Here is a 15,926-nt window from a genome sequence, read left to right as displayed (position 1 = left end):
ATTACAGGCGCCTGCCACCATGCCCAGCTAATTTTTGTGTTTTTAGTGGAGATGGGGTTTCACCATGTTGGCCAGGCTGGTCTTGAACTCCTGACCTCAAGTGATCTGCCTGCCTTGGCCTCCCAAAGTGCTGGGATTATAGGCATGAGCCACCATGCCTAACCAAGGGGATGTATGTTTATTGTGCATAATCCCTGCATGAGCAAACTTGATAAATGTAGACTTCATTTTAGCAATTTTTTGAAAGTCAAAATAATACAGATTGTGTAAAGGTTATGTCAATTATTAAATTTTTAGTTTATTTCCACTTATGTAGGCATCTATTTTTGTGATGTGACTTTGGAGTACTTCCTCTCTTTAATCTGTTGCATATTATTGGGTAAGCTATTCAACCTCTTCACCAAATCATGAAATCTGCTTGGAACATTTGTAATAACAGATTTTAAGGAGCAGTTTTGCATTTTCTATTTATTTCAGTCATAACAAAAACATTGTAACAGATTTTTCTTCTACGTGCAGAAACATGGACAAATTATACAAACATAATGCTGGGTGAAACTAGACAGACCTAAGAGACTCCGTCATGATATCACTTACATAATGTTCAAAAACATTCGTAATCTATTGTGTTAGAAGTTGCTTGGGGGATGGAGGGATATTGGGAAGTGGCGCAGTGGGAATTTTTAGGATGCTGGCAATGTCCTATTTTTGATCCAGGTGTTGGTTTCATGAGTATATTCACTTTGTAATAGGTTTGTCAGCTGTCTCAAGACGTGTGCATTTTCTGGATGTATGTTTTATTGAAATTAAAAGCTTTATTATGAATAAAAACATACCAGAATCACTGGGGGACACAGCCAATACAGTGCTTAGCTAAGAACTCCTACCATTGAATAGGTATAGCAATAAATATATTACAAAGAAAAAAGTTTAATTTTCAACTCACAGTTAAGAAATGGACAACAATAAAAATAACAATGAAAAGGGCCAGGTGCAGTGACTCACACCTGTAATCCCAGCGCTTTGGGAGGCCGAGGTGGGTGGATCACTTGAGGTCAGGAGTTTGAGACCAGCCTGGCCAACAAGGTGAAACCCCGTCTCTACCAAAAATATAAAAATTACCTGGGCATGGTGGTGGATGCCTGTAATCCCAGCTACTTGGCAGGCTGAGGCAGGAGAATCGCTTGAGCCCAGGAGGTGGAGGTTGCAGTAAGCCGAGATTGCGCCGCTGCATTCCAGCCTGGGTGACAGAGCGAAACTCTGTCTCAAAAACAAAACAAAACAAATATCAATGAAAAGATGTGGAAGGGAGAATTAATAAACACAAGTACCTAGAATAATCAGAAAAGAGAAAGGAAATAGTAGAACTGGGAATTGTTTCTATGAAAAAAAATACTAGCTAGTGTAATAAAAAAGCAGGAACATACAAAATACTGCAAATGACCATAAAACAAAAACGAAAAAAATATTGAGACTATTTTATGCATATAAATGTGAAAATCTAAGACCAGCCAAGAGGTAACTTCCCTTCTGGATCAACAAAAGAAGGGACTAAACAATGGTTTGCAAGACACTGTACATCGATCAACAAAGGACAGTGATCGCTGAGAAGTGGGAGACAAATGGAGTGAGCCCGGTTATGGACAGAATTGTGCCCCTCCCACCTTAATTCATATGTTGAAGTCCTAACCTTCAATATAAATATATTTGGAGATAGGGTCTTCAGGGAAGTAATTAAGGTTAAATGAGGTCATAAGTGTGGGACCCTAGTCAGATAGGATTGGTGTCCTTATAAGAAAAGGAAGAGGTGAGGCATAGTGGCTCACGCCTATAATCCAAGCACTTTGGGAGGCTGAGATGGGAGAATTGCTTGAGCCCAGGAGTTTGAGACCAGCCTAGGCAACTGAGAGAGACCCTGCCTCTTTAACTAAAACACACACGCACACACTAAAAATCTCTCCTTTCCCCAGTGCAAGCACAGAGTAAAGACTTTACAGAGTAAAGACAGACTTTACAGAGTAAAGACAGACTTTACAGAGTAAAGACTTTTTACAGAGTAAAGACTTTTTACAGAGTAAAGTCATGGAAGGACATTTACCAGCAGGGGGCAGGTTCTCAACAGAAACTGAATTTGCTGTCATCTTGATGATGGACTTCCAGCCTCCAGAAGTGGAAGAGCATAATGTCTGTTGTTGAAGCCGCCCTGTCTGTGATCTTTTGTCGTGGCAGCCCAGGCTAATACAGTCTACAATTGACCCAGTGAGTTTTCAGGTCGCAGTGCCGAGACAGGGAACTTGGCAGAATCCGTGAGTTGAGGACACTGGCTGAGAGCCTGGGAAAACCAAGGTAGGCAGATTTCTCAGGACAGAGTCCCAGAGAGAAGAGAATTACACACAGCACCCCAGGTGTTTGCAGAGTGTCTCCCTTACTTGGCAGATTGCTGATCAGTGCATGTGTGAGATGGAACTATGTGAGACCGGGGGAAGACATGCTCCCTCAGGACCAGGAACAGTGTCTGCTCCCACAGTCAGACTGGACAACCTTAAGATTCACAGGGCTTCAGCTCAAGTGCCGTCTGCTGGGCGAGACCTTCTGTGACCTCCCCAGTTAGGTGTTTTGTTTGTTTGTTTGAGGCAGTCTCACTCTGTCACTCAGGCTGGAGTGCAGTGGCACCATCTCTGCCTCCCTGCAACCTCTGCCTCCCGGGTTCAAGTGATTCTCCTGCCTCAGCCTCCTGAGTAGCTGGGATTACAGGCACGTGCCACCATGGCCAGCTACCTTTTTCTATTTTTAAAGTAGAGATGGAGTTTCACCATGTTGGCCAGGCTGGTCTCGAACTCCTGACCTCAGGTGATCCATCTGCCTCGGCCTCCCAGAATGATGGGATTATAGGAGTGAGCCACCACACCCGGCCCCCAGTTAGTTTTGAGCTTCCTGCTTCTATGTATAGTCTCTTGCACGTGACTGTTTGTTTATATCCAGTGTGTTTTCATTCTCAGAAATTATCTTCTGCACATCCTTATATTTTTATTCTCTGCTTCCCTTAAAGGGTCATTTCCATGACAGAAGGAATGTTATTGTCTTCTCGAAGGCTGTATCCCCAGTACAGAGAATAGTGCCTGGCAATTAAGGAGTTAATTACAGGTGAAAGTTATGATGCAGCTAACAGACATAGAAAGGTATAAAATGAAAGAAGGGTGGGGAGGTAGAAGGGAGTTAAGTTCATCAATAGCAGTAGGGAGACAAAAGTTATAATAGAAAAGCTCAATTAATTGAGGTTTAAGTGCATTGTTTAAAGGTGTGATGTTTCTAAGGGGGGGGTGGAATCAAAGTAATCTTTCAAAACCTTTAGAGGAATTTGGGAAGAAGTAATGTCAGAGCTGATAAATCAAGAAAGAATGGTATAAATATATTACTTAGAGTTATACTAGGTAGTCATCAGGAATTACACTGTGAGAGTTGCGTTGGTGTGGAGAGAGGGGGTGGCAAATTACTGCTTTCTATAATAGGTCCGTAAATATTTAATTTCTAGCCATAGGGATGTATTGCTTTGATTAATTTTTTTCTAATAGAGGAATTCAAACACAGGAAGAAACCTTAGATAAATCTGTAAAGGACTAGGATGAGAGATTTCATTCATTAATTTTTGGGAAGCATGCGCATAGAGAAAGCGTCTCTTATTCTTTCTCAGATAGACACGCGTACATACGGAGTCGGTTCCCTTTCCTCTTGTGAATCATTTTGAACCAAGAATAATTAGAGCACCTTTGTATAGTACTTGGTATTTTGGATTTGCATTTTTTTTCCAGGGTTGGTGGTGGTTCTATTCCAATGTTTCAGGCCCTTAAAAAAGGACTTGTTTATAACATGAGTCCAGAAGCTGTCACATCAGAGGGCGTGTTCCCAGGCAGGTGGAGTGGGAAGGGACTTCCTGAGGCAGACACCAATGTTGTCCCTAAGTGGATGGCCCTTGTGGTTGTGGCATTTGAAGCCACAATGTCAGGAAGCGCATGGTCCCTCCTCTGTGTCTGGGGGCAGGAGAGAGGGCCTGACCATCGCTTATGCAGGCAAATAACTCCACCTATGGTGAGAATTGGCCTTGCAGAGTCTGAGGGCAGTTATCCAGGGTCACTATCTTGATCGTCACCAGCTGTGTCCAGTTGGAAAATCACCCTTCCAGCTTGTTCACTTCCAAATGTGGGACTGTGGGGCATTTCCTGGCAAGGCTGTGGACAAAGATCTGTCAGCCCAGGGCCTCAAAACAGCTGAGCTTCCAGCTCTGCAGCCTCTGCCTCCTTTTCCTCTAGGCATGGCCCAACATGCCTTTGCTGTGTACAGAAGGACATTTACCCTTTTTGGGAACTCTGGTTTCTGGTATGACCAGGTGTGGTGTTTGCACCCATGAAGTTAATATGTAGGTATAAGGTGAGGTTTCAGACATGGATTTGGGATTAGGACCAGTTAGAAACACCTATACATCACCTGTGATTCCCTTGGGAAGAGTCTGCTATTTGGGGGGGATAGCACCAACCCCCAGAAAGTGCCCCTTGGTGATTATCATGGGTCAAGGCATGTTTTATACACTCATGGTATGGATGAGAGCTTTTCAGACCTGCCAAATGTTGAACATCGTTTGATGTTTCTGAAAGGGAGCCTGTCTCTTGTGGATTGTGGTTCATGCACGTGGAATATTGTTTTCTGGTCATGTAACCAAGAGTTAAGTCTGCAAATACAGGTCAGTAATTGCTGGAGATGTCAGATAACCAGGTGTATCAGCTAGCTTATGCAGCACAACAAACCACCCCAGACTCTGTGACTTAATACAACAACTATTTATTGAGCTCACAGCTCTGTGGGATGGCAGTTTGGGGTAGGTTCATGTGGGCAGTTCTGCGATTTCGCCAAGTTTGGTTTATCTCAGCTGGAACTCACTCGTACATCTGAAGTTGGCTGCTGGATGGGCACAGGGCTTTCTGATGTCAGCTGGGGCACCTTCCTTTTCTCTGCAGGGTCTCTCATCATCCAACAGGCTAGCATGGGCTTGTTCTCATGGTGATGGGTCTGACCAAGAGCAGTGAGAGGGCAAGGCCAATGAGCAAGCACTTTTCAAGTTTCTGCTTGCATAATGTTTGCTGCTGTCTCATTGGCTAGAGCAAGTCACATGGCCAAGTCTGGCGTTCTTGTCAGAGTCATTAAACAAAATCAGAGCCGTTCCTGCAAGCTGTGCACAGCACCAGGGAACAGCTGACAAGGAGCCCAATGTTTCCATCCAAACATACCTCAGAGCAGGGAAAATGGCTCCTGTTATCCTAAAAGAAATCGTGGCTCCATTTTGCTGCTCCTCAACAATGTCATGTGTGAACCTCTGATCCCTTTGGTGGGAATGGTGATAATAAAAATAATGATTAGTGACATTGATAATGACAGCTAACCTTGTTTATCACATTCCAGACACTTCTAATTGCATACAAGGATTATCTCATTTAATTCTTAGAGCCATGAGAATAAGAAGCTACATATACCAACATTACATATATCTCAAAAACCTGTAAGTGGAAAATGATATTTATAGTATGAGAAATTTACATAAAATTCTAAAACACATAAAGCAATATTATATATCGTGGATATTTACATTTGTGTTTAAATAATGGAAATGATTAAAAAAACAAACTCGAAGCAGCTACTTTCAGAGGAGGATGGAAACTGGCAGAATGAAGCACATGGGAACTTTGACTATAACTGTGTGTGGGGAGTTGAGTTCTGACTGAAGTTTAAGATTGGTGGAGGTTGCCTAGGTGCTAGTTATATTCTCTCTGTACTGTTTATACATCTAAAATATTTCAGAAAGAAACTAGAGGTTGCTTCACCCACAAAAATACTTCATTGTATTAAAAATCTACACTAAAATCAATGGATCAATGGAATAAGATTTTTAAAATCCAGAAATGGACCCAATTTTCTAATTAAAGGAGTGTCACTCAAAAAGGTGAAATGGAACCTTTAATACATAGCAAAGAGACAACTGGGCAACCATTTGGGGAAAAAGTAAACTTAGATCCATGGCTCATACTTTGCACTAAAGTCACTCGCAAATGGATTGAAGATTTAAATATTTAAAATGAAAGTACAAAAAAGGTGGTGGTGAGCTCTCAGCCTCTGGGAATCACAGCTTTATAGAATGTGAGGTTTGGAAGTGACTTTATGGGTTACCTGTACCACAGGCATGCACTACCACACCTGGCTAATTTTTGTATTTTTAGTAGGGATGAGGTTTTGCCATGTTGGCCAGGCTGGTCCTGAACTCCTGGTCTCAAGTGATCCATCCACCTCGGCCTCCCAAGGTGCTGGGATTACAGGCATACCATCTCTTTTATAGATGGGGAAACTGAAGGACAGGGGTAGAAGTGTATTTTTACCCAGACATTGAGCCCTCTCAAATTGGCACTAGTGCCGGAGTTTCAACTAGATCCCAGGTTGTGGAGCAGAGTTTCTGTGTGCTGGTGAGCAGCTTGCCTGAATCTGGTGAGATAGAACACCCACGTACACAAGTTACATGAAATGAAATGGGTTTATTACTTACAGACAGGCAGCAAGGGACAACAGAAGCCTGGGATTCATTGTAAGCCAGTCCCCCAGGCTCAGGAAATCTGCCCGGGGTGAATGGAGTCTCTGTGTGTGTGCCCCAATTGTACCACATCTGAGATACCCCAAAAGACAGCCCAGCCCAGGTTGTATACTTCAGGGGCAACACGATAGGCTGGGCTAAAACACCTAAGGATACCCCGTTTGTAGGGGAAAGAGGAATAGAGCCTGGGCTGTTGTAGCCAGTTCCTGCGTATCTCAGGATATTGCATTCCCAGCACACGCCAAGTTAGTCCTGAGAACCTTAAGCAAAAAAGTGGGTAGCTGGGCATTGTGGCTCACGCCTGTAATCCCAGCACTTCAGGAGGCCAAGGCGGGTGGATCGCTTGAAGTCAGGCGTTCGTGGCCAGCCTGGCCAACATGGTGTAACCCCAACTCTACTAAAAATACAAAAATTAGCCAGGTGTGGTGGCACACATCTGTAATCCCAGCTACTTGGGAAGCTGAGGCAGGAGAATCGCTTGAACCCAGGAGGTGGAGGTTGCACAGTGAGCTAAGATCACACAACCGCACTCCAGCCTGGGTGACAGAGTGAGATTCTGTCTCAAAAAAAAAGTTGCGGGGGAGGTGGGCAGGGGTGGGGGGCAGGCAAGGAGAACTGGGTTGATGGGTTGGCCCAAGGCCGCCTGGGGAACTGTCCTGCACAGATCAACCAAAAGGTAATATTCAGTGACGACTTGTGCACCAGGCACTGTGCCAGGACTTTACCTAGATGATCTTATGTTTTCCCACCAAATGAGCTAGTTGCTGTCATTACGCCCATTTTACAAATGAGGAAGTTGAGGCTGCGTGAGGTGGCTGAACGGCCAGCGATGTGGCCTATGTGCTCTGCCGCACTGCATTCCCTGGAAGGGTGGTGGCTGGTGTGCCCATGGCTCTGGCGGGAGTGGGCAGGGCTGCAGTGGAACAGTGCCTCAAGGATAAGTTGGGGCAGGATATGGGGAAGATAGGAGGACAGGACAAGGAATTTGGAATCCAGCAGCAGCAGCTACGTGCAGGGGGAGAGTTTCCTCTCCTTTCACACAAAGCTGGCCATGCACTTTCTATCCTAGATGAGCCAGCTGTACCCGTTCCAGCTGCAGCAATGGCATTGGGGCCAAACCAGTTTTTAAAAGGCTCTGGCTGTGGGAAGTGGAGAATCTGCTGCCAGCCAGACACGGCCAGGGTGTAAACTGGAAAAAGGCTTCTCTTCCTCCGGTCATTGTTTTTTACAGTAATTCTCCATCTTTGATATACAATATTTATGGGGTACATGTGATATTTTGGTACATGCATACCATGTATCATAATCGAAGCAGGGTAGTTAGGATATCCGTCACCTCTCCCCCAGGGATTGTTGGAGTCAGGATGGCATTGCACAGCCTGAACAATCACAGGTGGCCCTGGGGGCTGACTGAGGCGGAATGGGACGCTCACTCTAGGTGAATTGGGTGACAGTGGTCATGGCCAAAGTGTAAAGACGGAGTTCGGGGAAGGAGAGAAGGAGGGGGTAGGGGCTCTGGCACTGGGCCTTAAACAGTAGCATCCAGTTAGGAACTGCAGTTTCATAAACCAAGCTTCTTTTTATCATATTGCACACCAATAAAAAGTACAAGGGATTTGGGAGGCTGAGGCGGGTGGATTGCTTGAGCCTAGGAGTTAGAGATCAGCCTGGGCAACATGGTGAAACCCCATCTCTACTAAAAAATACAAAAAAACTTGCCAGGCATGATGGTGTAAGCCTGTAATCCCAGCTACTCGGGAGGCTGAGGCAGGAGAATGGCTTGCACTGGGAAGGTGGAGGTTGCAGTGAGCCAGGATCGCACCACTGCACTCCAGCCTGGGCAACAGAGCAAGACTTGGTTGCAAAAAAAAAAAGTCAAGGGATGGCTATACACAGCTGCAGGAATGAATCTCGTAAAATGGTGCTGAAGAAAAGCCAGACAGAAAAGATAACCATATATGAGTCCATTTATATAAAACGATAGAACAGGAGGCAAACTCAGTTTATGGCAATAACAGTTAGGGTGGTGGTTACCTGGGGAGGTGGTGTGGAGGGAGGTGGGTGAAATCACTGAGGAACAAGGGCACGTGGGAACTATTGGGGTGATGGAAACGTTCCATTTTGTTTTGGGTCATGGCTACAGAGATGGAGATGTGAAAATGTATCCTTTAAAAACAAACCAACCAAAAACAGCCCTTCTAAATCAGCATCCAGCGTGTATGCAACATACAAGAAATCAGGCAAATGCTATGTGGCTTCCTCCCAGGCGAACTCCGCTGCACACACAGGTGCCACGCTCTGTGCTTCACACACAGCTACCCCAGATGCCGCGTGTGCTCCCGCCAGCAGCCTGCCACACCGAGGCCACAATGTAGGTTTGGGGTTGGGCAGCGGAGGGTGCAGCACAGGGTGAACGTGTTCTCCCAAGCCTGTGGCATGGCTGGGGCTGCCAGCACTGGTTTAGGTGGGCAGGGGCTCTCCTGTGCTGCTCCAGGACTCAGGCGGGAGCCCATGAATCTTTACCTCTGCCACTCATGCAAGTTAGTATGTTTGCCCTGTTGCCCTTAGATGTGGCGTCTTTTTTTGCAGTGCCCAACCTAGACACATGTGCATTCATGTCTTGCCCGTTAGACTGCCCAGGGCAAACCACGTGGCTTCAAACCATTTTCCCACACTTCTCACCTGGTACGGGGAGCAGCTCTGTGGTGGTTTGAATTCAGCATCTCAAGTTGGCAACAAGTGTGCAGAAGCATCCAAAGTCACAGGTAACGCTCCATGGGGTCCTGGACCTGGATGCCAGCTTCTGACCCCCACCTGGGACTCACTTCATAAGGTAGAACACAAGGGATTCAAGGTTTCTGGGGGGCCAGGCACGTGGCTCATACCTGTCATCCCAGCACTCTGAGTGGCAGGAGGATCACTTGATCCCTGGAGTTTGAGACAAGTCTGGGCAACATTGCAAGACCCCCATCTCTACAAAAATAAAAATAAAAATTAGCCGGGCATGCATTGGCATGTGCCTGTAGTCCCAGCTACTCAGGAGGCTGAGGCCTCCCTTGAGCCTGGGAGTTCAAGCCTGCAGTGAGCCATGATTGCACCACTGCACTCCAGCCTGAGCAACAGAGTGAACCTCTGTCTCTAAGAAAAAAAAAAAAGATCTGGGGATTGTGGGTTGTGTCCTGCAAATCTCAAGGCAAGTTCCAAGTGATCCTGAAGCGGGAGACTGTCCCATTGGTGGCCCTCAGGGAGCCTGCTGCCGTTCCCACGCTTATACAGCCCCTGCCCTGGGAGCTGTGCTGATCCTGTTACTTACTTTAACCCAGTGGTTCTCAATCCAGGATGGCTTTGTCCTCCAGGGGACATTGGGCAATCTCTGGGGACACTTTTAGTTGTTGGGCCTGGTGGGGGTGCTACTGACAATGAGTGGAAGCCAGAGATTCCACTAAACATCCTGGAACACAGAGCAACCTCCTCCAATTCCTCTGCCCTCCGCAAACAGAGTGAGACCATTCCAGTGTCAATGGGGCCTACGCTGAGAGGCCCTGCCTTGCCGGATGAAGCATGGCGGGGTGATGCTCCGTCAGTTCTGGGATCAGCCTTTAAGACGCCGTTAGCTTCTGCTGCATCTTCAGGCCCCAGCCACCATGCAAGTGAGTTTCCCAGCACTGCCATAACAAGGTACCACAAACTGGGCAGCTTAAGGCAACAGAAATGTATTCTGTCTCAGTTCTGGAGGCTAGAAGGCCAAAATCAAGGTGTTGGCAGGGCTGGGTCCTTCTGGAGGCTCTGAGGGGAGAATCTATTCCATGCCTGTCTCTTGACTCCTGGCAGTCCTTGGCATTTCATGGCTGGTGTTGGCATAATTCTAGTCTCCTCCTCTATCTTCACATGGCCTTCGTCCCTGTGTGTATCTGTTTGTCTTCCAACCTCCTTAGAAGGACATCTGATGTTGGATTTAGGGCTTAACCTAATCCAGTATGACCTCATCTTAACTAGTTAACATCTGTGAAGACTTTGTTCTCATCTCTGCAGATATAACTAGTTAAGATGAGGTCATATACAACCATACATTAGGTCGTATTTTGAGGTTCTGGGCAGATATGAATTTTGGGGGTAGACTGTTCAGCTTGCCACACCATGTTAAGAAGTCCAATTCAGCTGGTCATGGTGTAATCCCAGCACTTTGTGAGGCTGAGGTGGGTGAATCACTTGAACCCAGGAGTTCAAGACCAGCCTGGACAACATAGTGAGACCCATCCTTTACAAAAAAAAAAAAAAATAGAAAAATTAGCCAGACATGGTGGCGTGTGCCTGTAGTCCCAGCTACTCAGGAGGTTGAGGTGGGAGGATCACCTGAACCCAGGGAGGTCGAGGCTGCAGTGAGTCGTGATCATGCCACTGCATGCTAGCCTGGGTGACAAGGTGAGACCCTATCTCAAAAAAAAAAAAAAAAAAAAGCCTGATGCCCCTAAGACCACCATGTGATGAGGGAGCCCAAGCTAGCTCCATGGACAGGCCACATGGATGGAGAAAGAAGAGAGACGCCCAGTCAACCCCAGATGTTTCAGTCATCTCAGTTGAGCTCTGGATATGGAGAGAAGCCGTCTTTGATGCTCCAGCTCCAGTGTCCTGTCGCCCTAGCCAACCACGTGGAGCAGGAGAGCCATCTAGTCAACCCACAGGTTTGTGAGATAGAATGAATAATCATTTTGACCCGTAAGCTTGGGGATCCTTCATTACACAGCAATTGATAACTGACATGAGGCCAGGGCTGAGCTGCTATTGACAGTATTGTCCACACTCTCACAGGTGAGATAATTCCCTCTCCCAGATCTGAGGTGTACCATAGGGCTGTACAGCCTCACGCCTGAGCATGGAACTCTAGTCTGGCCTAGAGAGCTCCTGCCTTCTCCCTCCTACGTCCCTGGCCACCCGCAGCCTCAGGATAGCCCCGGTCACGTTCTCTTCACCTGGCACTGATGTGAGGGACCGAATGAGCATCTTGCTGAGGGTTTCTTTAGAGGGAGTTGGGATGCCTGGCCTGGCAGAAGTTCTTTTGCCTCAGAAGCCTGCAAGAGGAGCTGGGGCAGAAGGGAGACCGTGGGTCTGCAGTGCGCAGCACAGGCCCCAGAAGGCGGGCAGCCAGCCAGGTAACTTCTCAAATGTCATCCTTTGCTTCTGGTCAGCACCCAGCCTGTCCCCAGGAACAATTCTAGTCCCTGGAAGCCCAGCTCATGAGTCACATGGTATTTGTCTGGAAAGGAAGTCAGTTGGTAGGTAGTTCTGGCTCACCAGATGAGTAGTTAAAATTAATTGACCAGATCATACACCCACTTGGGGAAACAGTTTGACAGGTTTTATTTTGAAGTTAAACATATACCTACCCTGTGATCAAGCATTTAAACTCCCACGTATTTACCCAAAATAAATGAAAACATATGTGCAAAAAGACTTGTACAAGAATGTTCATAGCAGCTTTAGGCATAATTGTCAAAACCTAGAAACAACACACATGACTCTCAACAGGATAACAGAAAAACAAACTGTGCCCGATCGCTTAAAATGGAATCCTGTTCAGGGACAAAAAGGAAGAAATTAAAGACATGCAGGGAACAACATGGATGAACTTAAAAGCCATTAAGTGAAGGAAGCAGACACATAAATATGTACATACCCAGTACTTCCATTTGTATGAAATTCTAGAAGAGGCAAAACCTAGCTGTAGTGACAGAAATCAGAGCAGTGGCTGCCTAGAGCAGTGGGGGCAGGGGTTGGCTGGAAAGGGGTGTGAGAGATTTCTAGGGTGACAGGAATGTCCTGTAGCTTGACTGGGACATACACGTGTATCAAACTCATCAATCTGGCCAGGCGGGGTGGCGCACACCTGTAATCCCAGCACTTGAGAGGCTGAGGTGGGCCAATCGCCTGAGGTCAGGAGTTGAAGACCAGCCTAACCAACATGGTGAAACCCCATGTCTACTAAAAATACAAAAATTAGCCAGGTGTGGTGGTGCATGCCTGTAATCCCTGCTACTCGGGAGGCTGAGGCAGGAGAATCCCTTGACCCCAGGAGGTGGAGGTTGCAGTGAGCCAACATCACGCCACTACGTTCCAGCCTGGGCAACAGAGCAAGACGCAACCCTCCATCTCAAAAACAAGAAAACAAAACCACATCAACTGTACATCAATCTAAAATGTGGGCATTTTAGAGGCTGTAAATTATACCTCAATTTAAAATGAAAAAAAAAATTAAGATCTTTTAAAAGCAAACATTAGCCAGGTCCTAGCTTTCCCAAGCCAAATGTCTGTCCATCTGTCAGTTATGACCAGTCACACATTTGGCCAGTGACATTTGTCAGGGTGGGTCAGAGTGTCAGTTTGATAATTCATGCTCATGTGATCAATCTGACAGTAGGGTAATGGGCTGGATCTTGGTCAGCAGCAGCCTCTTGGATTTGGAGGTGGAAGGGATGGCTTCCCATTGGGTAAACATTGCACCATGGTGAAGGGTCAGGCATTGGTCTGCCTGGTTCCCACCCAGGCTCCCCCGCTGTCAAGCTCTGTGACCTTCGGCAACTCACTCACCCTTCTGAGCCTCAGTTTTCTCATCTGTGAAATGTGAACAATCATTGCATCTATCACATGGGGTTGGCGAGATGATGAAATGAGCCAATGGGTCTGCAGTGCCCAGCAGAGGCCCCAGCACACGTGCTCTGGCAGTGGGATCTGTTATTCCTGTTTTTATTTCTCCATCTGGCGGCAGGAAAGGATACAAGTGGAGGCACCTTTCCTGTGTTTCCAGGCAGATGCTGCCGCTGTTTGCTGGAAGAAGAGCTCAGGACCTGGGGAGGAGGGGCAGGGCTGAGGAGGCCTGGGTGCGGGGAGCTTCCCCAGAGGGCCGTGGGAGAGGGGACCCTGCAGTCTGAGGTCAGGCCTGGCCTCTGGTTCTCTACCTCCTGGGGACAACTCAGCCAGCTTGAAGGCAGGGTCTCCCATCACAGGCAGGCAGGAAGCCAGCTCTGTAGGCCAGCAATGGCAAGTGGGCAGAAGGCTGTGACTGGGGCAGGGGTCCCAAACGGAGGTAATGACAGCACAAAGTGTCCCCCAGTCCCCTCCTCCTGTCAGGGAGGGGAGCAGCTGATAAACTCATGCTCATGTGGGTATTTGGAACTAATACAGTCACCCTTCTGGGGGAACTTCCGGTTTAAAAGAGAAGTCTGGATAGAGCAATGCATAACTCAAAGGAATATTTTGCTCCAGTGAATTTCAGGTGATACAGCAGATCTATTTTTCTGGTCAGGGGCTCCGGTCCAGAGTAACCCCTTCTCATTGCCACCCAATAAAAGAAAAAATAAGTAACAACTGGGGACCCACCTGTTTCACCTTCTCACAAGAGAGAAGGATGTTGGCAGTGTGGTGCTGCGGTGTTCTGAGTTCTGACATCATGCCAGGATCATCCTAGGATCGTAGCACTTAGTATGCAGTAAAGCCCTTAAAAGTGATATCATATTGTCTTGTTAAGTTGTCAGAGCCACTCCGTGGGGTTGTAGGTGTAGGGCAGTTGAATATGGAGGCTAAGCATGGAGGTGAATGACCTGTGTCACCTACTCGCAGATGGCAGAACTGGAGTCAAACCCATTGTCTGACCGTAAATTAGCCCTCTTGGCTCCTAATCATTCTGTTAGGCCTGCTACACTGCTCTGCAGTTCCTAATTATGACCACCAGGAGGCACCACCACTCCACACGTGAGTACTCTCCGCACTGTTCCTGAGAAGTGAAGGCTTAGAATCACGTCACTACTTTCTTATTTACCACAGTAATATTAATAGCTACTATTAACTTAGCACTTGCTATGTGTCAGGACTGCACTAAGCACTACATGCTTTATTTCATATATTTCTCACACATCTCTAACATTTGGACCAGACTGTTTCACAGAAACAGTGAAATTCAAAATCAGGTCTGTGTCTTCAAAGCCTGTCCTCTTAACCATATATCCTCAGTGGAGATCACCAACTAGATGCTTGGAGGCTGCATTTGGTCAGCAAACTTGGTTTTGTTGGTTGGTTTGTGTTTGGTTGGTTTTTTTTTGTTTTGTTTTGTTTTTTGGCTGGGATGGTGTTCCAACACGCATTGAATTTAAATGCTTTTTGGCAGGGCAGTCCCTCTCCACTTAGCCCCAGTCCTCATCACTCTCTCTCATATGTCCGTCCCTCTGTCTCCTTCCTTTGCTTATGTTATCTGCCTGACCCTGACGTCACTGGAATTTGCAGCTTGTGGTTGTGAGTTCGTCGACTCCCTTTATACTAATAATATATTGTAGATGGGAGTCAAGGGATTCCAGGGCAGCTTGGAGGTTTAGGAAGGCACCCAGGAAATGTAACAAATGGTGTGGCCAAGAGTCACTGTGGAGATGCGGGAGGCAGTCCTGTCCTTCAGTGTCCTCCCAGGACCTATCAGTAAGTGTCCCTTGTGCTGTGTCAGCATAGCGTGCATGGCACCTGCAAAGACCTGTGGATTTCCTGGGCTGGACGGTGGTGAGCTGGAGGTGGAGCATGCCGCGTTTCGACTTTGCAATACCCTCCCAGAAGAGTGACCTGGCTACTGTGCACTCACACAGAATCCTTCCTGATTTGCGTCTGTTTCCTTTCACCTGGCCCATGAACCAGTGGTTAGATTTAACCAGCACCGTGGGGTTTCTAATCATTATTGAGCACCCCATCTACAGGGACTGAACTGTGTTCCCCCAAACTCACATGTTGAAGTTCGAACCCCCGGTGCCTCAGAATATGACTGTATTTGGAGACGGGGCCTTTAAAGAGGTGATTACGTTAAAAATGAGGCCATTAGGATGGGCCCTAATTCAACCTACCAGGTGTTCTCAAAGAAGACGAGACTCAGACATGCAGAGAGACCCCAGAGGTGGACAGGCGCAGAGGGATGGCCATGTGAGGACACAGAAGGTGGTCATCTAGAGAGGCCTCAGAAGAAACAAAGCCTGCTAGCACCTTGACCTTTGACTCCCAGTCTCCAGAACAGTGAGAAAATTAATTTCTGTTGTTTAAACCATTTCTGTTGTTATGGCAGCCCAGGCTGACTAATATGCTGTCCATCAAAGGTGGGCGGAGTTGAGGATGTAAGTGTGGTCAACAGCCGGCCTCGCAGGGCACTGTAGCTCATGCATGTGATCCCAGCACTTTGGGAGGCCGAGACGGGAGGATCGCTTGAGCTCAGGAGTTCAAGACCAGCCTGGCCAACATAGTGAGACCCTGTCTCTACAAAAATTAGCCAGGTGTG

General features: G+C 47.0%; 1 annotated feature.

Annotated features, from left to right (window-relative positions):
* Positions 5,003-5,297: an enhancer, noted in NCBI's record as "tiled region #7745; HepG2 Activating non-DNase unmatched - State 20:ReprD, and K562 Activating DNase unmatched - State 8:EnhW". NCBI's record gives its function as "activates a minimal TATA promoter and a strong SV40 promoter by Sharpr-MPRA in HepG2 and K562 cells {active_cell/tissue: HepG2 | K562}" and the evidence as "EXISTENCE:reporter gene assay evidence [ECO:0000049][PMID:27701403]".

Source organism: Homo sapiens, chromosome 20, assembly GCF_000001405.40.
Source record: "Homo sapiens chromosome 20, GRCh38.p14 Primary Assembly".
Lineage (NCBI taxonomy): Eukaryota > Metazoa > Chordata > Mammalia > Primates > Hominidae > Homo > Homo sapiens.
Note: the sequence above shows the minus strand (reverse complement) of the source record. Positions and strands in the feature narration are given on the sequence as shown.